Source organism: Homo sapiens, chromosome 12, assembly GCF_000001405.40.
Source record: "Homo sapiens chromosome 12, GRCh38.p14 Primary Assembly".
Classification (NCBI taxonomy): domain Eukaryota; kingdom Metazoa; phylum Chordata; class Mammalia; order Primates; family Hominidae; genus Homo; species Homo sapiens.
The window spans coordinates 94,762,151-94,788,916 of record NC_000012.12 but is presented as its reverse complement, the minus strand read 5'-3'; the positions used below and the strand labels follow the sequence as shown (position 1 = coordinate 94,788,916).

At 41.9% G+C, this 26,766-nt stretch overlaps 3 annotated features.

Annotated features, from left to right (window-relative positions):
- Positions 17,837–18,396: an enhancer, noted in NCBI's record as "NANOG hESC enhancer chr12:95164297-95164856 (GRCh37/hg19 assembly coordinates)". NCBI's record gives its function as "activates a minimal SCP1, AML or CMV promoter by ChIP-STARR-seq in naive H9 embryonic stem cells {active_cell/tissue: H9 hESC(naive)}" and the evidence as "EXISTENCE:reporter gene assay evidence [ECO:0000049][PMID:30033119]".
- Positions 25,969–26,028: an enhancer, noted in NCBI's record as "active region_6797". NCBI's record gives its function as "activates an Ori minimal core promoter by ATAC-STARR-seq in GM12878 lymphoblastoid cells {active_cell/tissue: GM12878}" and the evidence as "EXISTENCE:reporter gene assay evidence [ECO:0000049][PMID:35858748]".
- Positions 26,349–26,398: a silencer, noted in NCBI's record as "silent region_4731". NCBI's record gives its function as "represses an Ori minimal core promoter by ATAC-STARR-seq in GM12878 lymphoblastoid cells {active_cell/tissue: GM12878}" and the evidence as "EXISTENCE:reporter gene assay evidence [ECO:0000049][PMID:35858748]".

The window sequence follows — 26,766 nt, the reverse complement described above, 5'->3', positions numbered from 1 at the left end:
AAAAAGGAAAACATGATAAGGTACATAACTCATACTTTTGGAAAAGAGAGAGCATGCCAATTTCTCAAAAGAGACAAAGCTTTTCTGAAAGATTGCAGTTTTAAGTCTTTGTTATTCTGGAGCTGGTGATTCAATTTTGATCATTCAGTTTGCTTACTTCTTTCCCTTGTTGTTTCTTTACCTGTTAAAGTTACTCCTTTGCTTCATCATCTCTGCACTGCTTACTGGTGCATCAGGTGATACAGAGAAGGGAAAGCAGGTAAATGCAAAACAGTCAGCTTTGTAGCCAATTATAGTTCTGGTTAAAGTCATACATGATATGTCATTTTAACTAACGTTGTGCTATCTATTGATTGAATAAATATTCTCCAAGACAACAGAAGAGAGAATTATTTATATTTTTAAAAAATCCTTGTGACGTCATATAAAGCTCATCTAGTTTTGCACTGGGCTGAGGATTGGAGCCCCTATGTAGCAGGTCAGTGTTAAAAAGTGAAAGCTCTATGCTTGGTCTGGGAGTGACCATATATTAACCCATACATTGGGAAAAAACTGATTTTATTTCTCTAGTACCCAAGCCTGGGGGAGCTTTAGAATCACCCAGGGAGCTTTTTAAAAATACAGACCACTAAGCCCCATCCTACACTGACTGGATTAGATTCTCAGGTGGTGAGGCCCAGGGATGTGGTTTTTATTTGTTGTTTTGGCTTTAAGCTCCCTTGGTTTTTCTGGTAACCAGCCTGGCTTTGGAATTGCTATCCATCTATCTGCAAAAGGAAAAAATAAATCCCTCCTCTGCACTGTCCTAGCATAGTCAGCCGCCCTAGTGTGGTCACCGCCCTACCGGTGACAAGCTTCCTGAGTAGTGATTGTTGCGGGGACCGGGGGTGGTCACTAGATGGATCCTAAATTGTCCAATCTACCACAGGTAAATAAAATAAGCCAGGCATCACTTTGGAAGATAAATAATTGTCCTCTAAGACACAGAGAGCCACAGCCCAGTGAAATTTCCAAGGAAAGTGAGAAAGGAGAAGTTAAATATAACTTCATTTGGTCAAGGGGAATACTAAACACACAAATGTCAAAGAGAAGATCCCCACCCACTGTCTCTCTATATTTGCCTGTAGCTATTCCCAGGTATAATAATAACAGCACCACTGACATTGAGCAGGTGTCATGTATTAGGTTCTATGCTAAACCCTTCCACTGTATGTACATACCACATTTGTTTCCATGTGTAGGTAACCTGCACACAGTCATGTAAGGTAGATATTGTAATTTTCATTGCCAATGAATAAACAGGCCTAGAGAACTTGTGTGACTTACGCAGAGGCACAATCTAGCAAAGAGTGGGGCTAGGTCTGGAGCCCGGGTCTAAATGACCCTTGAGCAAAATAAATTGTTGCTTTTGAATACATTTTTCCATTAAACACTACATTTTTCCTTAAAAGCATCAACCCACACATCTATTTAGTCAAATTCTGTTCCGTACCTGGGTTGGTAGAAGAGCATCCATCGATTCATCTATTCATGGACATCAGACATTTATGTAAAACTTGTTCTGTGCTAGGCCCTGGAAAGACAAAGATGAACAAGGACCTAGCACTCAGGAGGCTTGTGGCATGGAGCAACCAGAGCATGGAATGGGCTGATTGGTCAGGCTTGGGGTATGGTCCATCATTGGAGCCAAGGTATCAAGGTTATGTTACTGAAAAAGGAGGATGCTGGTCAGGGAAAAAAACACAGGTGCCCATTGCAGGTCCCCGCCCTCGAGGAGCTTAAAGTCCAAAGGGAGAAGTTCAGATAAAAACTGCAGTTACACACGGTCTTGCGTGGCCCCAAGAAAGGTAACGGTGCTATCAGCACTTACAACACCTGAGCTATTCCAAGGCCTTAGAAGGTTGCTCTGAGAGAGTGATGTGTGCATTGAGGTCTGATGAGTGCGTATGACTTAACTTCATGTCCTCATTTGTATACATTTAATGTATATCTAATAATAATCAGTAAAAACTTTCTGTTCACTCCATAGGGCAAAGTTTTTGCTTGTACATGGTTTTCATTTTTAATGACTGTATAATATACTACAGTGTTTTGTATAGTAAGTCTATCCTGTTGTCCAGTTAAATATTTATTTTCTCTTCTCATTGAATGGTCATCAGCAAACATATTTGTGCATAAGTTTGTTTTCCTGTTGAAGAAAATGCAAGAATTGGGTTTGTGGAATCAAAGAATGTGCCTACTTGGTCACTGTATTACTTTCTAAAAGCAGCAATTAACTTTCTTTCACATCCTCTTCCTATAGCCCCTTCTTTGTTACCTTCATGCATTTTATCAACAGCTCTTTTTATCTCCTTTGTGGCTCACCTCTGTGTACCAGGTTTCCTGATATTCGTGTCAATCTTTGTATCTAGAGCTCTTCAGATTTCTCATAGTGGGCACTTAGTAATGCCTTCCTTTAAAAATACCTGCTTTCTGGGCCGGGCACGGTGGCTCACGCCTGTAATCCCAGCACTTTGGGAGGCCGAGGCGGGCGGATCATGAGGTCAGGAGATTGGGACCATCCTGTCTAACATGGTGAAACCCCATCTCTACTAAAAATACAAAAACTTAGCCGGGCGTGGTGGCGGGCGCCTGTAGTCCCAGCTACTCAGGAGGCTGAGGCAGGAGAATGGTGTGAACCCGGGAGGCGGATCTTGCAGTGAGCCGAGATGACGCCACTGCATTCCAGCCTGGGCAACAGAGTGAGACTCCGTCTCAAAACAAAACAAAACAAAAAACCCTACTTTCTGTACTTTGAGTTTCTAGCACATCAATTGTTGTGACAGTGACTCTTATCCCAACATCTATTCTCTTTTTCTTAGAACTCACAAGTTTTAGTTGGGCACATGGCCATTCAGAATAAAGATTATATTTCCTCTTTTGGAGGTGATGGATATGTTCATTATTTTAGTTATGTGATGGTTCCACATGTGCTTAGAAAATCATACACTTTGAAAAAAAGGACTATATTTCCCAGCTTCCTTTGCAACCAGAGGAGGCCAGGTGACTAGTTCTGGCCAATAGAATACATTCTACTATTACAAGTAGAAGAATTGTTTGGTAGCTTTTGGAATCCTGTTTTAAAAAAGTGGTGTGTGCCTTTTGCCCTCTCTTATTTATACCTTCTTCCACCCTGCTGCCTGGAACATGGTTGTGATGACTAGAGCTATAGCCACCATATTGGATCATGACAAGAAGGGCCAAACTCTAAAGATGTTGGAATGGTGAGCTGGAAGGCTTTTGGTTCTGTGAAGATTTCAGGGACCAGAGCTTGCATACCTGTCACTGTGCTGCCTACCTCTGGACTTTCACATATAAGAAAAATGCATTTTTATTTTGTTTAAATCATTAGTTTGAGTCTGTGTTACTCAACTGAATCTAATCCTAACTGATATACATGTGCTCATATAAAAGAGACTATATCAACAGTTGAAGTGGTTAAGACATTATCATTTATTGGACATGAATATTTCACGGTTAGGCTGAAACTTGAGACCAAAGTCAAAGGAAAATGCAAGGATCAAATGCAATTCTTTTTGTAACTCTCTCAATTATTTTCTTGCTATACTCCCCCTATTTTAAAAAATATTATCTTCATGATAATTGCTGTGTGTATGGAACTCTACTTATGTATTTATTTCATTTAATCCACAATGAGGAGGTAAAATTGCCATCTCCATTTTACAGATTAGAACATTGAGCTGGAAAAAAATTAGCTTGTGAAGGTTACTTAACACGTGGTAGAGTGGGACTCTATCCTGGATCTTCCTGACTCCGGAACCCAAAGTCTTACTTTTGTAGGGGAGCCATCTTCTTGCATATACTAGTCTTTCTCCACAGAACACTGACCCTCTCTACCTTTTTTGCCCAGCTACTTTATTTTTTATTTCATTTTACTTTTTTAGAGATAAGGTCTTGCCCTGTAGTCCAGGCTGGAGTGCAGTGGTTCAGTCATAGCACACTGTAACCTCGAACTCCTGGGCACAGACGATACTCCTGCCTCACCGCCCCAAGTAGCTAGGAGTACAGGCAAGTGTCACCACACCCCACTGATTTTATTATTTTTTGGTGGAGATGAAATCTCGCTATGTTGCTCAGGCTGGTCTTGAACTCCTGGCCTCAAGTGCTTCTCTCATCTCGGCCTCCCAAAGTGCTGTGATTATAGGTGTGAGTCACTGTGCCTGGCCCGCCCATCTACTTCCACACACCCTAGGTCTCCTCTCCTTCAGCAAACTTTCCTTGATCCCTCCATGCTATCCTATAATGCTATTGCTTTCATAGCATCTTGTACATTATCTATCACAGCATTTATCACATCTTATTGAATTTGTTGCTTATTTTTCCCCATGGTAGACACTGAGGTTCTGGGAGAGGGTTGGGAAGGACTAAGTCTTCTTTTTTATTTTTAACCTCCTAGATCCTAGCATGGTACCTGGCATATAATAGGTGCTTAATAAATATTGTTTAAGTTATTGAATGAACTTCTGTCTGTCCAAAAGATGTTTCTGCTTCTTAAAGCACTTTTCGGCATGTATTATTCTAACTAATCCCTCTGCTAGAACTTTTTCTTATTGTTGCATATTCTTGTTCCATAGTAAATGTGTCTGTGCTTTTCAAAGGCTTGATTTGGTAGGTAATTTAGTCTTTGGTCATATGTGGCATTTCCTCTTAGTTCTCAGCAGGCTGGTGCTGCTGTTATGATTTCACAGTAGGAATAGATTTGCATACTGTTAAGCTGCAGTGATCTTTTACGTGCATTCAGGAAAAAATGAAATAGTTGTAAATAAGCATATGCATGAACTCATTCAGAAAAATGACTATCTGGATTCCAAATTGCATAATCATCCTCCTTTTATATTTAACAGATGAGTAAGAGCTTTAAATTTTCATAGAGTTGAAAGATATACTGCTATGTCAGAGGAGGGAAGAAGAAGAAACAAGAGCTTCCCTAGATGTAGTCTAACTCTGATTGCAGTGTTCTTCAATCCAGTCTTTACAAGATTCCCATTCAAAAAGCATGCAGGTCGAATTAGGCTGAGTGCCATTCACGGGACTGAAAATATATTCCTGGTCTGAAAATTCCTTTAGGGCACAGAGTCCTTATCTCAAGCGTTTCTGAATCTCCACCTTCAGCATTGTTCTTCACATAGTATGGACCTTCTACAAATATGGGAGTCAGCAGAAGGAATTTATTTTCACATTTTGCTGTTTCATTGAACTTTGTATGCTGCTTGTTTTTGGATTAGTTGAACCGTTTACTTTTTGTGCTTTTGGCTTATTTTACTTATTGGCATAGAAGTTAGCAGGGAAGAGCAAATGATAAGCTAAAACCCGAGGACTGGGAACTAGCTACTGCCCTCATCTGTTTATTTTTATTTATTTACTTTTTTTTTGAGATGGAGTCTTGCTCTGTCACCCAGGCTGGAGTGCAGTGGCACAATCTCGGCTCACTGCACCCTCCACCTCTTGGGTTCAAGCAATTCTCCTGTCTTAGCCTCCTAAGTAACTGGGATTACAGGCACCTGCCACCACAGCCGGCTAATTTTTTGTGTTTTTAGTAGAGATGGGGTTTCACCATGTTGGCCAGGCTGGTCTTGAACCCCTAACCTTAGGTAATCCTCCTGCCTCAGCCTCCCAAAGCGCTGGGATTACAGGCATGAGCCACCGCGCCCGGCCCCTCATCTGTTTATTACTTATTATTTTAACTGTTCCAGTGTACAGTTCAGTGGCATTTATTACAATCACGTTGTGCAACCATCACTGCTGTCAATCTCCTTTCATCTTTTCATCTCTTTTTTCTTCCCAAACAGAAAGTCTGTACCCATTAAACAATAACTTTCCATTTACCCCTTCTAATTTTTGTACAACCATCATTCTACTTTCTGTCTATATGAATTTGACTACCCTAGGGATCTCATATAAGTGGAATTGTATGATATTTGTCTTTTTGTCATTGGCTTATTTCACTTAGCATAGTGTCCTCAAGGTTCATCCACATTGTAGGATGTGTCAGAATCTCCTTTTTTAAGGCTGAATAATATTCTATTATATATACGTATCACATTTGTTCATCCATTCATCTGTTGATGAACACTTGGGTTGCTTCCTCTTTTGGCAATTGTGAATAATGCTGCTATGAACATGGGTGTACAAATATGCCCCTATCTTAATTTCACCTCCCCTGTAAGATATGTACTAAGTACTTTCAAAACCTTTCACATTTTCAAAATAAAAAACTTGTGTTTCAGAAGACATCATCAAGAAAGTGAAAAGACAACTCATACATTGGGAGGAAATATTTGCAAATCATATATCTGATAAGTGACTTGTATCTAGAATATATAAAGAGCTCTTACAATTCAACAATAAAGACAGCTCAATTTAAAAATGGGCAAAGGATCTGAATAGACATTTCTCCAAAGAAGATATACAAAGGCTGGTAAGCTCATGAAAAGATGCTCAATGTCATTCATTAGTCCTTATGGACATTCAAATCAAAATGACACCAGGATACCACTTGATACCCATGAGGATGGCTGTAATAAAAAAATGGACAATAACAAGTGTTGGTGAGGATGTGGAGAAATTGAAACCCTCATACACTGTTAGTGGGAAGGTAAAATCGTGCAGCCACTTTGGAAAACAGTTTAACACTTCCTCAAAATGCTAAACATAGCTGGACACTGTGGTGTGCACCTGTCATCCCAGCTACTTGGAAGCTGAGACGGGAGGAACTCTTGAGCCCAGGAGTTCAATGCCAGCCTGGGCAACATAGCAAGATCCTGTCTCTAAAAAAAATCAACTAAACATAAATTTACTGTATGACTCAGCAGTTCCACTCCTGGGCATATTATACTCAAAACAAATGAAAACATATCGACACAAAACTTGTATACAAATCTTTATAGCAACACTATTCATATTAGCCAAAACAGTGGAAACAATCCCAATTTTTTTCAGCTGATAAATGGTTAAGCAAAATATGGTATATCCCTATAATGAAATATTATTCAGCAACAAATAGAATGAAGTGCTGGTATGTTCTATAACATGGATGACCCTCAAAAACATGCTAAGTGGAAGAAGCCAGTCACAAAGGACCACATATTGTATGGTTCTGTTTATATAAAATGTTGAGCAGAGGCAAATCTATAAAGACAGAAAGTAGATTAGTATTTCCTTAGGGTAGGAGAAGGGGACAGGTGGTAGGAGAAAATGGGAGTGACTGCTAATAAATATAAAGTTTTGTTAGAGGATGATGAAAATGTTCCAAAATTATAGTAATGGTTGCAATATACTAAATGTATATAAACCATTGAATTGTATACTTAAATGGATGCCCTTGATGGTATGTGAATTACATCTTAATAAATCTGTTTAAAAAGGAAAAACTTTAGCGGCATTATTGCACATTCCACCTGCTCACCTTGTGGATGTCATATCATCAAAATAGCCTTTTTTACCCTCCATGAAATAGGATGCCATAGTCTTTTTGGAGAAGAAATTAGGGAGTTTGTCATTGCAAATACAGGGAAAAAACTTAGGGAAAAACGTTTCCCAAGTTTATAAGAAATAAAATAAATTTTGGCAATATTTATTCATTTCCTAAAAATGTGGCATGTCTTCTTTCAAAAATGAGGACAGAATTAGTGCAATTGAACTCTGCATCAGAGGACTTTAACAAACCTTAAAGCTATTTTGGGTCTGTCTTTCCCTTGGCATAGGAATCTTTCTCTCTTTTGCTTTGTAGGCAAGGTAATATGCTTCCATGTCACTGTATGTCTAGAATTTCCATCTAAAGTTATCTCCTTTTTGCACATGGCTCTTCTTCCTCAGTTGGTGTTTGGTCTCTGCTGCTCAGCTGACCTTGGATAAACCAACAGTCCCTTTCCTTCTGCCTAGTAAGTCAATCTTAGTCTTGTTGGAAGGTGTGGTTAAAGGCTAATTGAGAGAGATCTACCTGTTAATATTCTGAAAAGGGTTTACCTTAAATTAATTTAAATCTGTGGTTTCTGTGGATTTTATGTATGCCCCCTATTCCTGGCTTTGGTTACCACATAGCCAAACATTAATTGGATTTTTAAAAAATATATATATTTTTGAGATGGAGTCTCACCCTGTCGCCCAGGCTGGAGTGCAGTGGTGTAATCTCGGCTCACTGCAACCTCCATCTCCCAGATTCAAGAGATTCTCCTGCTTCACCCTTCCAAGTAGCTGGGATTACAGGCACCCACCACTGTGCCCGGTGAATTTTCGTATATATATATTTTTTAATAGAGACAGGGTTTCACCATGTTGGCCAGGCTGGTCTCGAACTCCTGACTGCAAGTGACCTGCCTGTCTCAGCTTCCCAAAATGCTGGGATTACAGGCGTGAGCCACTGTGCCCAGGCTGATTGGATTTATTTTTGACTTTTTGCTTTCACTGCCTTTTGGGCCGCTCACTCAGGGCCTTGTGCCTGCGTACCTGGCACATTTTCTTCACCAGGTTGTGGGGTCCTGGGAGGGAGGACCAGGGACGTCGTTAAACTTCTCGTAGCGCCTGGCGCTATGTAGGTGCTTTGTAGTCATTCATTGAATGTATAATTCCACTTAGGTGGAACTTTAGGATGTGAGCCAGCAGTTTCTTCATGGCAGTTTTTTTTTTTTTTCTTTGAGATGGAGTCTTGCTGTGTCACTCAGGCTTGAGTGCAGTGGTGTGATCTTGGCTCACCACAACCTCTGCCTCCCAGGTTGAAGTGATTCTCCTGCCTCAGCCTCCTGAGTAGCTGGGATTACAGGCGTGTGCTACCATGCCCAGCTAATTTTTGTATTTTTAGTAGAGACAGGGTTTCACCATGTTGGTCAGGCTGGTCTCGAACTCCTGACCTCACGATCCACCAGCCTCGGCCTCCCAAAGTGACAGGATTACAGGCGTGAGCCACCGCACCCAGCCAGTAGCTTTGTTTTATTATCTAATGTCTGCTAAAACAATGTGGCACAGCCAACTGAGAGAAGGACGTCTTGCCTCCTGCTTGATTGATCATGACATAGGTTTACAAGCGTGCTAACATGGCATTAAATCACATAAATTAAACCTCAAGAATGAAGATGTTTGGCTTTTCTTCCTGAGAATCTGTGCATACAATTTGTCAGCCCTGAATCTCCCACAGGCGCCCCTGGAATGTGAGCTCTGGATGTCTTTTTGGTTTTTCTTGGCAGGTTGATCAAAGCCATCAGTCCTGTCAAGTGGTTAGACCAAGAGGAAGATAAATCGAATCCAAGGCCTTGCACAGACTTTTAAAACAAAAGTCTTGTTTCCGGATGTTTTGTTTTGTACTATGAGTTAATTTGAGTTAGCTGTGAAGAGCGTAAGTGATTCTTCTCAAGTCCCTGTGTTTTTTGCATCAGAACTGGCATATGGAATATGTACCGTGAAAGGGTTTAGAAGACAGTGCTTAATTTCCATTTCGGCAAGATGAGTTTCAGAGATTAAAGAGCTGAGGTGGTGAGTGGTTGTGATGTAAATGCCATCATTTTCTCAATACTGGTGGCCAGCGTTAGAGGGAAAGAGGCTGAAGGCCTGACCTTGCTGATGTCCAGCCTTCTCTGTCATGGCTCTGCTGGTCTGTGTCCTCCACCCTGTGGCCACACCCCACCTTTTCAAGAGCCCTTCTTTGAAAGGAGACCTAAGGTTGAGGACTGGTCCTACCTTTGTCTTTGAATAGTTTTTAGCCTGAAGCGTCTTATCCCCTGGTGGGTGCTTGGATATTTGTGGGGGACAATTTTGGTTGTCACAATTATGGTTATTATATTATTTTTGAGTTTTGTTTTATTTGAAGATAATAATGATGGCATTATAAATATTAATTATAAAACGAGGGTGCTGGGTGGGCGTGGCGACTGACGCCTATAATCCCAGTGTGGATCACTTGAAGTTAGGAGTTTAAGACTAGCCTGGCCAACACGGTGAAACCCTGTCTCTACTAAAAATACAAAAATTAGCTGGGTGTGGTGGTGGGTGCCTGTAATCCCAGCTACTCAGGAGGCTGAGACAGGAGAATTGCTTGCCCAGGAGGTGGAGTTTGCAGTGAGCTGAGATCATGCCCCTGCACTCCAGCCTGGGCGACACAGCAAGACAGTATCTCAAAAAAAAAAAAAAAAAAAAAAGGATGCTGCACCTTTAGCATTGAGAAGCACTGAGATGGATCATTGGGTTCTCTGAGCCTTAATTGACCTTTTTTTTGAAATGGAAATAATGCTTGCCTACTCATCTCAGAATTATTTTGAGAATCGGTTGTGGAAATCGTGAATCTGAGTCTCTCTGAGTGTTTCCTCAACTGAAAAATAGGGATAGTATAGGCTTAGCGTGGCCTTTGTAAGGATTAAGTAGGATTACACATGTAGAGCACTTGGTAAGTGGTAAAGCAAAATGCAACAATATGTACACCATCAATTGATTATTTAATCCTGACTTCCTGCCCAGCTAGCTGTCTTACTGTTGACTGGGTACATCTTGTGATCTTCCATCTTTACATTCCAGATCTTAGTGCTTGCGTGTGCTGCTCTCTCTCTTTCTTTCGCTCTCTTCCTTTCTATCCTCTCTCTCTCTTCCTTCTTCCCTCCTTTCTACTCTGCCATTCCTGGATTTTTCCCCCCTCATCTTCTCTGCCTGCCCCAATCTGCTCTTTCCTGAAAATTTCTCTTATCTGACCTCACACAGGGGCCGGCGGAAGGATCTTCTCCTTCTGTTAGTTTCCTGCTCAGTGCTGGTTTCCTGCTTGGTCATTTGCTTGTGGAATTATTTGTTAGCTTCCCCCCGCATGTGCATCTGATTGCTCCCTGGAATGTATGTCCCCTGAATTTAGCATGAGACTACAGAACTGGTAGATGTCAGTAACTGTTGATTTTCTACACCCGAGAGACATGCTTTTGATGGAAACAAGCCAGTAAACCCAAATCTTTTCTTCCTTGGGGATATGTAATCACCCAAGCAGTAAAGGTAGTTACAGACTTTTAGAACAGGAAAGAACCTCAGGGAGTTACTCTTTATTGCATGTAACAGGTCATTTATATACTTTATATCTTTTCTTTCTCATAATAATATTAAAAGGTAAATATGGCCACCTGCATATCATGAGCAAGGAGGCTAAGGCTCAGAGATGTTAATTCTCTTGCCCAAGGTAACTCATCTTGAAGTAGTAGAAGGGCTTCTCTTTGTCTTCAAAATCCATGTTCTACTATTTTATTCTGCTTCTTAAGGGAAATGAAGCTTTGATCATCACTAGAATACCATTTAGGGTAAGAAAGCTGAAAGAGTCAACATTAAGTAAAAAAAAAAAAGAATCATGAAGTGGCAGTTCTTTACAGTGTAGAAACAGCTAAGGCATGGCCACTGAGCAAGTATTAGATGGCTACCATCTAATGCCAAACCAGTGTTTTGCTAAGATGCCAAAGGAGAGAGGGGCTTCATCCTTAAATGGCACGAAAAAACCCTGAAACCCATACAGCAAACAGGTTTGAATAACACAGCAGCAAGTATACAGCCTCTGGGGCCAGACTGTGGGTTTGGATCCCAGCTCTCCTACTTAATTAGCTGTGGGACCTTGGGCAGCTTCCTTATCCATCCCCCTGTATCTCAGTTTCTGCATTTGTAAAACATGGGGGTGTTATAGAACCTGCCCCTCAGGGTAGTGGTGAAAAACAAAAGCGATGATACCCAAAAGGACTTAGAGCAGTGCCTGGCATAGAATAAGGCTCACTGAGTGGTGGCGTTGGTTATTGAGGCTGAGGAAAGTATTGCACAGCGAGAACTTAAAAACAATTCCAGCTGCTTGACAAGGGCCAGAAGTTGATGGCCTTGAATCAGTGACAGAAGCCTGATGGGTGCGTGATGGTGTCTCTCCTGACTCCACGGAGGGTCCATCTGAGGTTCCCCGACATGTATATATCTAGGAATGTGTCCAGTGGAGGCAGGCTTTTAAGGTCAGACCTTACCCTGTAATGATGAATAACAATTCTCTTTGACTAAGAGATGGGCTTGAGACGCCAAGGGGTTTTGTTATTAAAAGTAAATAGCAACATGCTCTATTCTTCCTCCAAGAATCCAGAATAAATTGATTTCCTAGGCAGGGTTTGTGACTAAGTACCGAGTCTCTCACACTGTTCTCTGAAAGGTCCCAGTTAAGCCCCTGAGAGGCATGAATAGTTGATGAAGGTTTTATATTTGGACCCTTAATAAAACTGGGCTTGGCAGCTTTTAGAAAAGTGCTTCAGTTATTAAATGGGTAAGGCTGTGTGGGCCTAAAGGTACCTGTTTGGCTGGCAAGGTATTCAGGAGCATCAGGGAGTATTTCCCTGATGGGATGCTACAGGACCAGATCTGGAAAGGGAATTTTAACCTGTTTCTGACTGCAGGGTTCTGACCAAGCTTGGGCAATAGCTCCCTGCTGGAAAATGGGTATGAGGGACCACAGCAGTCATCTAATCTACTGGCATTTGGCCATGTAATATGGGAATTGACAATTATTCTTTCATCAGTGTGTTTCAGGTACCTTCTTATGTACCTTCTAATGCATATTGGTTTTCCTGTTCTTAAAGGCCCAAGAACTGTGCTGCTGGAAACAACCTCAGCCTTGCTGGTCATGAGCTTGTGTTGCTCTGTGGTTTGAGACGTGAGGCTTGATTAGGAGATAAAAGCCATGTGGGGATGATTTTCCCACCCTTTGCTCCAGAGAGGGTCCTTACCAACCTTTACACCTCTCCTGGGGTCCCTTTCCCTAGAATTCCAAGGAGTCCCCCAGTGGCTCCCCTGTGCCTAATTTCTGGGATTTGGAAAAGCTGCTGTTGAATAGGGCTATTGCTATGCACACACACACACACACACACACACACACACGTGGTTTCAGAAAGACGGAATTCAGGAGCCATGGGAAGCCGCTGCCATGGCTCCTTCCCGGGACTTACCGCCTCTGAAATGCTGCTGGGATTCGGGAAACAGCAGCTCTCTGTGTTTCTCCATGTCTGATCTGAGTGATGAGGTCCCTCCCCTTTCCCTGGAGAGCGAAGGGATGGGAAGTTAGGGAAGTTGAAGGAGGGAGAGAAGGTGCAGTGATTTACCATTTGCTTTCTGAACAGTGTTCAAGATAAAACCATACATTGAGATGCAGAAAATGAACACATGTTCTTTAATTTTACTCCTAATGGCTAACTTCATGTCTTAGTCCCTATCATGCATTAATGATAGTTGACATTCGTTGAGCTCTTACGTTTCTCATTAAACCCTCACAACCTTGTAAGAAATTACTAGTACCCCTATCTTTACAAAAAGGAAACCACACCTGAGAAAGATGAATTTTCCCAAGGTGTCGCAGCTGGTTATAGATGGCGCTTGGGTTTCAGCCCAGGCCCCACCGCAGCGCTTTCCGTTCAGTGGCGATGCTGGGCTGGCTCTGGGCTTTGCTGTCTATCTTTTTCTCCACAGTGCAAATGCTGCCTTCGATATGTTAAGACCATTTCATGGTTTGTATTTTGCATTGGTAAGGTCATGTGAATTGATTTTTTTGACATTCAGCTTTCTATGCTAGGAAGTTCATTTTATCTAATTTATCTAGGCTCTGAAAAGGAAGAGCCTTCCTTTTTTGAACAGAGCACAGAATGTTCAGAAGTCTGGGACATGCCAAGGAGAGCCCTGAAGGAGAATTTCTGGTGGAAACAGCTTACCTAGGAGACCCTGCTCTTCCTTTTCTCCCCTCTGTGCTCCCTCCCTTTGATCCCTGCAACCATCCCCACTTCCTCTGGTCCACCAGAGATTCTAATTCCCACCTGTCTTTGTAGCCCAAACCCCTTTCTTAAGGCATATCTAATAAGTAAATTGACATTTTCAAAGGAATTTTTGCTCAAAGGCAGGGAAAACAATAAAAAGAGTTAATAACCAAAAAGTATTTTTAAACTTCATGTTTCTCTTCCTAAAACTATGAATTTTACCAAGCCGCCAACCTCTTTTCCTAAAAGTATTACACCATGGCTAGGTGTGGTAGCTCACACCTGTAATGCAGAACTTTGAACTTTGGGAGGCTGAGGCAGGAGGAGCACTTGAGGCCAGAAGTTTGACAACAGCCAGGGCAACATAGTGAGACCCCATCTTATAAAAAAAAAAAACTTAGCTGGTGTGGTGGCACACACTTGTAGTCCTAGCTACTTAGAAGGCTGAGGCAGGAAGATCACTGGAGCTCAGGAGCCCGAAGCCACAGTGAGCTGGGAACGTACCACTGCACTCCAGCCTGGGTAACAGAGTGAGACCCTGTCTAAAAAAAAAAAAAAAAATTCCACTTATGCACTTGGTAGATGAGCAACCTCCTTTGCCTGGTTTGTGGATACCATCTTATTTTTTCAACACTCAAGAGCTAGTTTATTTACTACCCACTACTTTTTGAAACACAAACCTTTTTCTCCAGATAGGATCCCCCTACTCAATTCTAGTTTCCAGTCTGAGCTAGAGTGATGGTTTTAGCACATGACCACAAATTCTCCACCATTTGAAAGATGGAGCCTAATTCTCTTCCCCTTAACATGGGCTGTACTTGAAGACTCATTTCTAATTAATAGAAAGTTAAAGGAGTGATATTGCTAGACTTTGGAGACTAGATTGTAAAAGGCATTGTGGCTTCTATTTTGCCCTCTCTTAGATTACTAGCTCTTGGGGAAGCCACCTGCCATACGGCTTCACACTCAACCCTATGGAGAGGCCCACATGGCAAGGAAACTGAGGCTTTCTGCCAACAGCTATGTGAGTGGGGTATCTTGGAAGTAGATTGTGCAGCCCCAGTCAAGCCTTCAGATGAACACAGCCCTGATTGGCATCTGAACTGCAAATCTGAGTGATCCTGAACCAGAACAACCCACCTAAGCTGTCTCTGAATTCTTGACCCACAGAAACTTTGAGATAAAGGATATTTGTTGTTTTAGACTACTAAGTTTTTGGGATAATTTGTTATGTAGCAATAGATACTCAATAGAAGATGTGCACCTATTTTTCAAGTGACATTTGGGACAATGACTGTTATATGCTAGTTTTTAACTCTAATCCAGATTGTTCTTCTCTTGTTTAGGACCTTATGAGCTGGGTAAACTAAACTCTCAAAGCCTCAGTTTCTTCCTCTGTAAAATGGAGATAATAGATTCCCCCTCAATGAGTTTTTTTTTTTTTTTTTTTTGTAGTTGTTGTTGTTGTTGTTTTTGAGACAGGGTCTTGCTCTGTCACCCAGGCTGGAGTGCAGTGACGGAATCTCAGCTCACTGCACGCTCTGCCTCCCGGGTTCAAGTGATCCTCCCGCCTCAGCCTCCTGAGTAGCTGGGACTACTGGCGCGTACCACCGTGCCTGTCTAATTTTTGTGTTTTTAGTAGAGATATGGTTTCCCCATGTTGGCCAGGCTGGTCTCAAACTCCTGACCTCAGGTGATCTGCCTGCCTTGACCTCCCAAAATGCTGTAATCAATGAATTGTTATTAGTACTGCGTTCATAGTAGGCCACTCAATAAATGGATAACTGTTAGTATTATTAATATATTTTCAATTAGCATAAGTCTTGTTTCATCTCAGTTTTTCTGAATTCCTTCTTTTCTCACCTCCTTGAGAAGCCTGGTAAAGCACTTCTGTAACCCAGTGGGCACAGGCCTCTGTTAGCTGTTGTGATAGAGTGCTTGTGGATCTCCCTGGTTGACAGTAAGCTTCATGAGAATGGGGAGGAACATACTGTTTTTGTTTCCGTAGTGTCTAACACCAAATAAATGAATAAATGAATTATATAGCTCCTTCTGCTGTATTTGCACATAAGCTGTTATTGGCATTCAGTGTTACTAAAATGGTTAACTCTTATCTCCAGCCAAAGAAGATGTGCATTAAAAAACAAAAATGCATTGGAGAGTCTATTGTTCATTTTGTTCTCTGTCTTTCCAGCCCAGAAAATCTATGATTTTACTGTCAATTTGTGTAGGCAGACAATAGTTCTCACTTCCATATATATATATTTTTTTTTTACCATATAGGGCCCACTTTAGCATATAAGGGCCATTTCAGGGAAAATGTTGCTGTGAGAACGTCTTCACAATAGCTGGAATATAAGTTGATTATTCAAGACATTTTAATTTTAAAATTGTAATAAACATTTATTGAACACAAATTCTCAGATGGAGGGTATTAGACATTTTTCTCTAGAGTTGGAAGGCAGCATAGAACAGGCAAAGGGAATGAAGTTGTTTCTGACTTAAGACCAAATCCAGATCCCAGAATTTACAAGCTATATAGCTGCCCAGCTGTGGCCCCAGCTGTTTCTTCCCTGAGTGTCCATTTGCTCTACTCCATGTGGATGACAATGAAGAACATCAGAGAATACTCCTCACCCTGCCCTCTCCCTGCCCAGGCTTCCATGAATCTTTTCATCGTCTGTTCCCTCTCTTTGGTGTCTGTGTATTCACCAGATGTTTAATAGGTATTTACCATATGTCAAGCAATGCTGGGCACAGGGCTGTACCAACAAACAAGACCTGGTCCTATTCCCTGAGGGCTCCCTGAGGGCTGACAAGCTGGGATCTGCACATGGGGTGAGTGGGTAGCAGGCAGCTCTTTAACATGGCATTATGGGGTTAAATTTCTCCTAGCACAAATTCTGGGTCAGATTGAGCCCCTGGTGATTGTCTCTTTCCAGTTGGTAGGCTCGGATGCTGTGGAGTGGTCCAGTGTGGGGTTTACTCTCAGTTTTGCTTTGCTAAGGGAAATCTGGGACTTGTTATTCTGCGGTTACATCATTAATTAGTGATACTTGCAGCAGTAAACATCATGTCAGCTAAAATTAGTAATTCTGCCACCTCTTCTGCTGAAGCTAAATGGGAGGGAGAGCTGGATCTGGTGGGATGTGCGCCCAACATTCCCAAACCAAAGGCAAAAGGACGTTCAGCAAGGTTTAGCAGGGAAGAAGGACTGTGCTCAGGTGCGCATGTAAACTGGGCAGGAGAGCTCTTGAAACAGGAAAAAGACAACTTGTTCATGTTGCTCAATGTTTTTCCTGGTAATCCTTGACAAAATTCATGCAGTTCATCTATCCATACACAAGGAGTGCCTGCTATATATCGGGAGTAATACAGAAGTAAAAGAAAGGGCTCGCAAGAAATCTGTGATCTAATTAAAAAGATAGATTATAGTGTTATAGATTTTTAAAAAATATTAGCATCCATTGTTGGTAAAGGGAAAAGGAGATGAACATCTTTAAACACTGATGCTGGGAGTATTAATTGATGCAGTTGTTCTAGAGATCAATTTAGCAATACTTACAAATGCTCTAATTTGTATTTCAATTTGTCAAGCAAGTCCACTTATGGGAATCTATCTGGAGAAACTAATAATGGAAATGTGCATAAGCACGCAAGAATGTTTATTGTTATTTTTTATGGTAGCCAAGAAGAAAAGGAAACAAGTGAAATGTCCCGTAATGTGGTGTTATTGACAACCTTGTCTGGCCGTACAATGGAATGCAATGCAGCCTTGAAACAACGCATTTTAGAAGAGAGTTAAGTGACCTATGAAATATTAATGCCACATTGTTAAATGAAAAGAGTAGATCACAAATCAATAAGAATCCCATGACTCCAATTTTGCATAATATGTGCATAAAAACAATGTCAACAGTGGCTATTTCTAGGCTCTTTGAATCTTCAAATTTGTGTTTGTTGTGGATTCCCAAATTTTCTACAGTGAACACATACTGCCTTTGTAGTTATAAAAAGCCGTTGACAATAGAAAGTAATAAAAGTGCAGTTTGGCTAAAGGCCTCGGCCAAGTGCCTGAGAGCCCAAGAGTGGAGCTCAGCAGAAACAAGGCTGTTCTTTTTCTCATGTGTGCGTGTGTGCATTATTTCATTCAACAAATACCTGTTGTGTTTGCAGGCATATGTTAATCCACGCATCACACAACCATGGAGCACTTACCATTGCCAGAGGCTGTGCTGAGGGCTGTAGGTACAGAAGCCTCAGCTCCACAGATGAGGAGCCGATTGTCATGGAGCGTCTCTTCTGTTGGAAAGAAACACAAGCAGATAAACAAACAAGAGAATTGTAGATAGTACCAAATGTTTTGAGGAACATAGCCAGGGTATTTTAATAGAGAGTGACTGGGCAGTCAGGGGTGATCTCTGAGGAGTTCACAGCTATGGAAAGACCAGGAAGAAAAATAAACATGAAAATGCCCTGAAGTAGGCACCTGCTTGGCTTTTGAAGGAGAAAGAAAATAAGTCAAGTGTGTCTAGAGCCTGGGGGAGTGAGGCTCCCACCTACATCTCTAACCTGATCATGTGTCTTGCTCCCCCAGGCTACCTACAGCCCCCATATAGTGTTATTGTCAGGATTAACTGAGATAATACACAGTGCCTGACAAATTAAACCAGCCTTAAACATTTTTGTGAGGTAATCAGGAAAAGTGGAGCACAAACGGGTTATTTGGCTGTATCAAGGATTTATTATCAATTTTTTAGGCATTATGACATTTGAATGTTTATGTTAAACAAAGGTCCTTATCTTTTAGAGGTACATGTTAAACTACTCATGAATAAAATGTTATAATGTTCAGGATTGACTTCAAAATTACCCATGGGGAGGGAGGCAGTGGCTGGGGGGATGACCCTAAGTTAATGATTAATAAAGCTGTACTCTGGTTACATGGAATCCATTTTAACATTCTCTCTTTTGTATGTTAGAAATTTTTATGATAAGAAGTTTCAAGTTCACACATCAATAAAAGTTTGGTGGAAGATGAGCCCACAGTAAATATCTCTTAAGTCTTCTTACTTCTGGAGATGCAAACCCACAAGCAAACTCTCCCTTTTCTGTGACATTCACTATTCCGCCTTTCTCGGATGTTAAGCTTCCTTGCAGAGGCTATTTTGAGGTGTGTGTCAATGCATGGGGCCATCTGTCATGAAGGAGTGGCCGAACGTTTTGCTGTCACAGCAGCAGAGGATGTTTTACTTAATGACTTTTAAATTATGCTTTGCATTTTCTAAGATAGTGTCTTCTGTGGGGAATAAGCTCACTGGATAGCACAGTTTGCTTTTAAATTGGGTCCAAGCCTTTTCAAAACATTAGATTAGAGTCTCACCTAAACTGTCTTTCAGGAAAGGCAAAGGATATGTATAGGGGAAGAAAGGCAGTAGGCCGAGAAACATGAATGGCCTCAGTTTTCTTTCAGCCTTCTCCTTAACAAGCTACATGGCTTTGGACATGTCATTTAGCTTCTCTGAGCTTCAGTTTCCACATGTAAGGAATAAGAGAATTGGACTAATTTCTCTGGTCCCTTCCAATTCTAAAAATCTCCTTCTTACTGATAACTTTCTCACTAAATATATTCATGTTCACTGGAGAAAATCAGGAACATGTGGAAAAGGCAAAGACAGAAATAAAAATCACCTTCGCTCTACCACCCAGAAGATAACTATTTTCAGTGCCTGTATATGTTATTCTTCTTAAGAATCAAATTCATGCAACATATTTTGTTGAACAACTAATCGGTACGTTGCATCAACCATTGAAGGAACGTAAAGATAAGCAGATGTGGTCTCTTCCCTCAGGAGTTGGTAATTTTATGGCCAGCACAGTTTCCTGCTGCTTTACATAAGGGGCACTCCCCATGAGAGAGAACCTTGCGTCCGGCACTACACTCTGCTGAGTTTTAATGCTGTTTGCATTGTTATTACACCCGTATTTGAAAACTTTTTTTGAATATTATTTCTTCCGATTATGTGCAGAGGTAGAGCTCTTATGGGCAGGCTAATGCGTAAAGGGTAGAATTTTCCAAGAAAAGCAACAGATGCTCTTAAACCAGACTTTCTTTATTATATTCATTTTCTTTGGCTGCCTGCCTCTAACATATCAGCACTGATGCGGAGAAGCAACTTGTCTGCTTTGAATTTCACCTGCTGCCCTTGGGCCACACACAGCCTCCTCTGATGAAGCCTAATGGGCAATGCTGCAGTCAGGGAGCTGGAAGGCCGGCAGAGGAGGAGAAGGCTTTAGGTGCAACGGGGGGAATCCGGAAGCTAGCCCTCCTTCCCTGGGACAATTCACTTTGCAACAGGAGGCAGCAAGAAAACCTAGAAATCTGGCGAAAGTGGTGAAAGAGCACTGAAGGGAGGGAGGAGAGAGGAAAGGGTGGGGATGTGGAGAGACCAACTTATTTGGTTGAAATGTGCATATATTTGGCTGAAATGTGCATTCAGCGTGTCAGGGCTGCTGTATTATTCATGAAGCTCTCATGTGTCTTTTTCCACACCAGTTTCAAAGAGGAGATGTGTGATCCGAGCCTGGCAGAGTGCCCTGCTTACACAGCACCACCCCAGTACCCTGCCCTCACTTCAGGGGAATCTGGGTCTGTAGCCACAGCAGTCAAGAGTGGGGATTTTGCATTATTCTCACCTTCCCTGAATGTAGCATTCCTGTACCCACAAATGGAACATCAGTTCAAATAGTAAATATTGTATTTAAATTTTCTATCACAAACTTTGGGCATGTCTTTGAGTTTAGCATAGATGAATGTTCGCCATCATTCCATTATTTGAAAAAGTTCCTTAGCGCCCCCTCCCTCCCCTCTACGAATGGAATTTGCCTTCCAAGGTGCAGGAAAGAGACATGAAAGAAGAAATAAATATTTTTGATGGCATGCATTTGAGAATTTCCTAGTTCTCAAGGAATTCAGGCCTGACCATAACTTATTGGGTGTTTTCCAGAAAGGCAGTTAGAAACAAAGAATATGCAGAGAAGGAAATTCAAGTCCCATAACACAAATGGACATTGGAAAATCTGCCTTCCTCTTTTTTTTGTTTTTGTTTGTTTGTTTGAGAGGAGTTTCGCTCTTGTTGCCCGGGCTGGAGTGCAATAGCACAATCTCAGCTGGCTGCAACCTCTCTCCCGGGTTCAAGCAATTCTCCTGCCCCAGCCTCCCAAGTGGCTGGGATTATAGGTGCCCACCACCACGCCCAGCTAATTTTATATTTTTAGTAGAGATGGGGTTTCACCATGTTGGCCAGACTAGTCATGAACTCCTGACCTCAGGTGATCCACCCGCCTCGGCCTCCCAAAGTGCTAGGATTACAGGTGGGAGCCACTGCTCCCAGCCACCCTTCCTTTTAAGAGGGACACAGACAACAGGGAGCATGGGAACTTTGACGGTGTTCATCCTGGAAGGGAAAGTTCTGGAATAACACTTGGCCATCTCCAGATACTTGGAGGCTGTCACATGGAGGAGGAATTAAACTTCCTCTGCACATGATGCAAAAGTGTTGAACTGATTTATTAGTGTGTGAAAACAACAGACAGATTTTTCTTTAGGAAACATTTATAGGGTGATATACAAAGATGGAAGATCTTTCCACAGAGAACTAGAAAGTTTCTGGTCCCTTTAGGCAAAGGTTAGGAGACTGCTTCCCCCCCGCCACCCCTGTCCCACCCCCTGCCCACTGATTCCACCCTCCTCTTGCTTGCTGCCCTCTCAGCACATATCTTTCTTCCAGTTCCCCAAAGGAACCAAACCTTTTCTACATCATTACCTCTGTGTGGAGGTTACCCACCCTTTCAACATGCTAAAGTTTGTTTACCTTTAGGCTTCAGTTTAATTGTTACATCCTCCTATCTATATGTCTTTACTGGCCCCTTACCTAAAGACGGTCTTACTGTGAAACCATGCCATAACGTCTCGTATTTTTCCTTTACAACACTTACCAAATTGGGCTGGGCATGGTGGCTCACACCTATAATCCCAGCATTTTGGGAGGCTGATGCAGGCAGATTGCTTGAGGTCAGGTGTTCGAGACCAGCCTGGCCAACATGGTGAAACCCCATCTCTACTAGAAATACAAAGAATTAGCTGGGCGTGGTGGCACACAACCATAGTACCAGCTACTCAGGAGGCTGAGGCAGGAGAATCACTTGGACCTGGGAAGCGGAGGTTGCAGTGAGCCAAGATTGTGTCACTGCACTCCAGCCTGGGCAACAGAGCAAGATTCCATCTCAAAACAAACAAAACCACTTACCAAATTGATGCATATAGACACACACATATATATAATATGTATATCAGATATATGCACACAGTATGCTTACATGTATGTAAAACAACACAAATATACACAAATATAATTTGTGTAACCATTTGTTTAATGTATGTTTCACCACTGGAAGGTTTGCAAGAAATACCATGCCTGTTTTATTCATTCCTTCTTCTGTTGTGTACAGTGCTCGGAGTGTAGTAGATGCTCAATAAATGTGTCAAATGGCTGGATGAATTAGCAATATTCATGCACCAAAGTATCATGATTCTTGTTACTCTAAGAGTGGGATATGAACCACTGGAGATGACTTTAGATGTGACCTGAGTCTAGCACTGGATAATATTGTATCACCTTGAGTGAAAGTACTTTTATTTTCAATTTACTTTCAATCCCTCTGATGTTATTAAAGAGAAAAGCATGGTTTGATGATGGTCTTTAATCACTGCTGACCACTTGCCAGCCTCCCTGGTCTACACAGTGAGATCAGGCCTCAGCCAGCAACACTGTCTAACTGGACTTCAATAACATGTTTTGTTTCTATTGCATTATTCATAGGTTACCTTTTATTTGTGACACATGATATTGATTTTTCTTTTATGGAAGTGACACAAAGTCTCCTTTTAAAACAAAACTATATAAGTAAAAATGTGAGTATATTTAAGAGAAATATTAAGGAAATAGTAGTACAGTTATGATATATTAGTGGTTCTTGAATTACTGAAATTTTGGTTTTTGAAGTGTTTGAAGTTTTGGAACTACCTAGAAGGTCACTAGAGTCCAAGATGCACTCCTGAGTCCATCCCCAAACTAGTGCAGGACCATGACAAAGTAAATGCAATGAAGTGAGTTTCTCCCAAAGCTAAGTTGGTTCATTGTCATTCTGATAGCATGTTCTTTTTTGAGATTAAAGTATCTTTTCCCCAAATAGATGATGATTTTTAAAAATTGCCCCCAAATCTGGCTGGGCATGGTGGCTCATGCCTGTAAGCCCAGCACTTTGGGAGGTTGAGGTGGGTGGATCACTGGAGGTCGGGAGTTCAAGAGCAGCCTGGCCAACATGGTGAAACCCCGTCTCTACTAAAAATACAAAAATTAGCCAGGCATGGTGATGTGTGCCTGTAATCCCAGCTACTTGGGAGGTTGAGGCACGAGAATCTCTTGAACCTGGGAGGCGGAGATTGCAGTGAGCCAAGATTGTGCCACTGCACTCCAGCCTGGCAATAGAATGAGACTCCGTCTGGAAAAAAAAAAAAAAAAGTTGCCAGTAAAATCTTGTTTGCCTCCTGTGTGAATAATATGAGAGCAGTTGGTCCCACTCTTGTGTGTGTGCGTGTGTGTGTGTGTGTGTGTGTGTGTGTGTGTGTGTTGGTCCCCAGTGCAAATGCAGATGTGTCATGCATACTACCCTAAAGTAAAAAGCATTTGTGTGTTGTTTTCCCTTTATTTCAAATAGGGATTGCAAGTATCATATTTATAAAAAAAAAGATTGTGAAAATAATTTCTAGATATGGTGAGCACTGTATAAGGGATGTCATAGGAGAACGAGATGGTTGGGGGAGTAGAGGGTACTAGGGGGAGGGTGTTTCTGTAGTAGTTTCTTCCATTGGAGACAGAATAGGGATGGGAGGGGTCTGAGGGCAGTGGCTCCTAGATGGCAGGATGAGCATTTGGGGGGCAGCAGCCTCCCCATTTTCTGAGATAGGTGGTGTCAGAGGTTGGGCAAGGAGGAGAACAGGGGTTGGCAGAGGAGAGACAGGCAGGTCATCTGTGGAGGGATCCACACTTCAAGTGCTGCTGGACACAGGGAGGCTCCTGTGCCCCAGGCATCAGCCTGGAAAGAAGTTAGCCTGTTGCAACATTGTCGTAACTGCTGCCTTTCTCGCTGTTTGTGTCTGTGCCGAGTTTGCTTTGCTTATAGAACCCAAACTGCGGTTGGACTCTTAGGTCCCCATTAGAAATTTAGCAGAAATCATAAGACCAGAGAGATTATGGCCTTACTGATTGCATCAGTTTTGGCAACTGCCTAATTAGAAGCATCCAAAGAACGAGACCTTTAAAATGACTTATACTTGTTATAACCCATGATCAGCCTTTGGCTTCTCATTTGAAGCTGCTGCCTGCGGTGGCATCATAGTTAGATACTTACTGTATCTAACTGATACATAGCAGGGACTATGATTTTCTCTCAGACTTAAACCATGGTCAGCAGAACTATATTTTGCTTTTGAAAATCAGAACTCTTTCAAGGTAACATGCTTCAAGAGGAGTGATCTTCTCCCCTCCCTAAAATCCAGATGTTATACTTCGAAGTTAAAAACAACTGGAAACTGAAAAGTCTAACTGCAAGCCGCCTTCTCTGCTGTTAAGCAGTCAGCGTTCACCTACAATGGTCTTTCTCTGTTTTTGCCAGTAGGTGGTGACAGTGCTGTCTGTGCAGTTTACTTAAGTCTCTTGTTATTTATTTATTATTTAAATAATACCTCTCTCTCTCTCTCTCTCTCTCTCTCTCTCTCTCTCTCTCTCTCCGTCTCTCTCTCTCTCTCTCTCTCTCTGTCTCTCTCTCTCTCAACAGAGTCTTGCTCTGTTGCCCAGGCTGGTGTACAGTGGTGGGATCTCATCTCACTGCAACCTCCACCTCCCGGGTTCAAGAGATTCTCCTGCCTTAGGCTCCCAAGTAGCTGGGATTACAGGGACCTGCCACCACACCCCGCTAATTTTTTTTGTATTTTTAGTAGATACAGGGTTCCACCATGTTGGCCAGACTGGTTTTGAACTCCTGACCTCAAGTGACCCACCCACCTTGTACAAATACATACATATTATAGGAAGAATTAGAAAACAGATAAGCACAAAGGGAGTTGGGGGGTGGGGGTTGGAATTGTATAATCCCACCATCTGTAGATAATCACTGCTGAAGTTCAGGCATACACAGCCTTTGTGGTAAACTGACCTAAGCCAGTTTAGTGGTTCACAGCTAATAGGTTATGTATGGTTGATACCAGGAGCCTCCAGTGATGACAGATCTCTACTCCACAACCTCTGTAAGGGTGAAAGGAGAAAGCAAGAGCAGTTCTCAAACCAATCCTGCTACGGGGACAAACATGCATGACCAAGCAGGCACACAGCCTGTGCTGTAAACTGCGCTGGAGAGGCCCAAGCTCCCAGCTTTCAGCCGCTTAGACAAACACCTTGCATGAAAGGCTCTCCTGTGGCCTGTGCAGCAGCAGTGTTGTAGCCATAGCATTGAGCTAACTTTACTTAGAGTCACGCAGGCCACAGAATCCTCCATAACGTAAGACTGGAGGGATGGAGGCTGCTGGCGTTGCTGAATTCTCACACCCTGGTCATAAGAAGGCGGAGTGGCCTGTACAGCATTTCCAGCTGATCCATATACAGCAAGTCCTCAAATGATGTCATTTCAATCGGTGTCATTTCATGATCACCTTGATGAGAAAGTCTGTTCCTGGCTGGGGCCCCTGTCTGTGTGGAGTTTGCACATCCTCCCACATCTGCATGGGTTTTCTCCAGGTCTCCCAATTTCCTCCTACATCGCAGAGATGTACATGTTTGGTTAACTGGCATGTGGTCCCAGCCTGAGTGAGAGAGAGAGAGCGTGTGTGTGTGTGTGTGTGTGGCAGGGGTGTGTGTGGTGGGGGTGTGGGTCTGAGTGCACCCTGCTAGGGGATGTATCCTGTCCAGGATGGGTCCCAATGTTGCAGCCTCAGCTGCCGGGACAGGCTCCAGCTACCCTTGACCCTGAAACAGGAATAACTGGGCAAATAATTATCTTCCTTGTGTTTATTAACCTTACTTAAATGTATGTATAGCTCACATGTATTTCAGTGTTTAATATTATAAATGTTTTGGTTTTTATTTAGAAGTTTTGTGATTTTTTTTGTGATCAGAAATATGCCATAAGAACTTAGCTCTTGTTGATCTCAATTAGCCTGTGGCAAAATCAGTTTCACTATATGTTGTTTCACTGAAAGTTGCAGTTTCCTGTTGATGACATGAAGTGAGCCCTTACTGCACTGTCGTGCATTGCTTAACAACAGGGATATGGTCTGAGAAATGTATCGTTAGTCAATTTTGTCATTGTGTAAACATCATAGTGTACTTATACAAACCTAGATGGCATAGCCTACTACACACCTACACTATATGCTGTAGCCTGTTGCTCCTAGGCTAAAAACCAATACAAAGTGTTACCATACTGAATAGGCAGTTGTAACATGGTGGTATTTGTGTATTTACACATATCTAAACAGAAAAGGTACAGTAAAAACACAGTGGGTTATAAAAGATTAAAAATGGCACACCTGTATAGGGCATTTACCATGAAGGGAGTTTATAGGACTGGAAGTTGCCCTGGGTGAATCAGTGAGTGGTAAGTGAATGTGACCACTCACACAAGTGTAAACTTTAAACGCTGTATACTAAGACTACACTATATTCATTTAAAATTTTTTCTTTAATAATAAACCTTAACTTACTGTAACTTTAAAAATAAATTTTAAGAAACTTTTGACACGTTCATAATAACACTTAGGACACAAATATATTGGATAGCTATACAAAAAATAGTTTCTTTATATCCTTATTCTGTAAGCTTTTTTCTATTATTTATATTTTTACTGTTTCAATTTTTTGTTATAAAC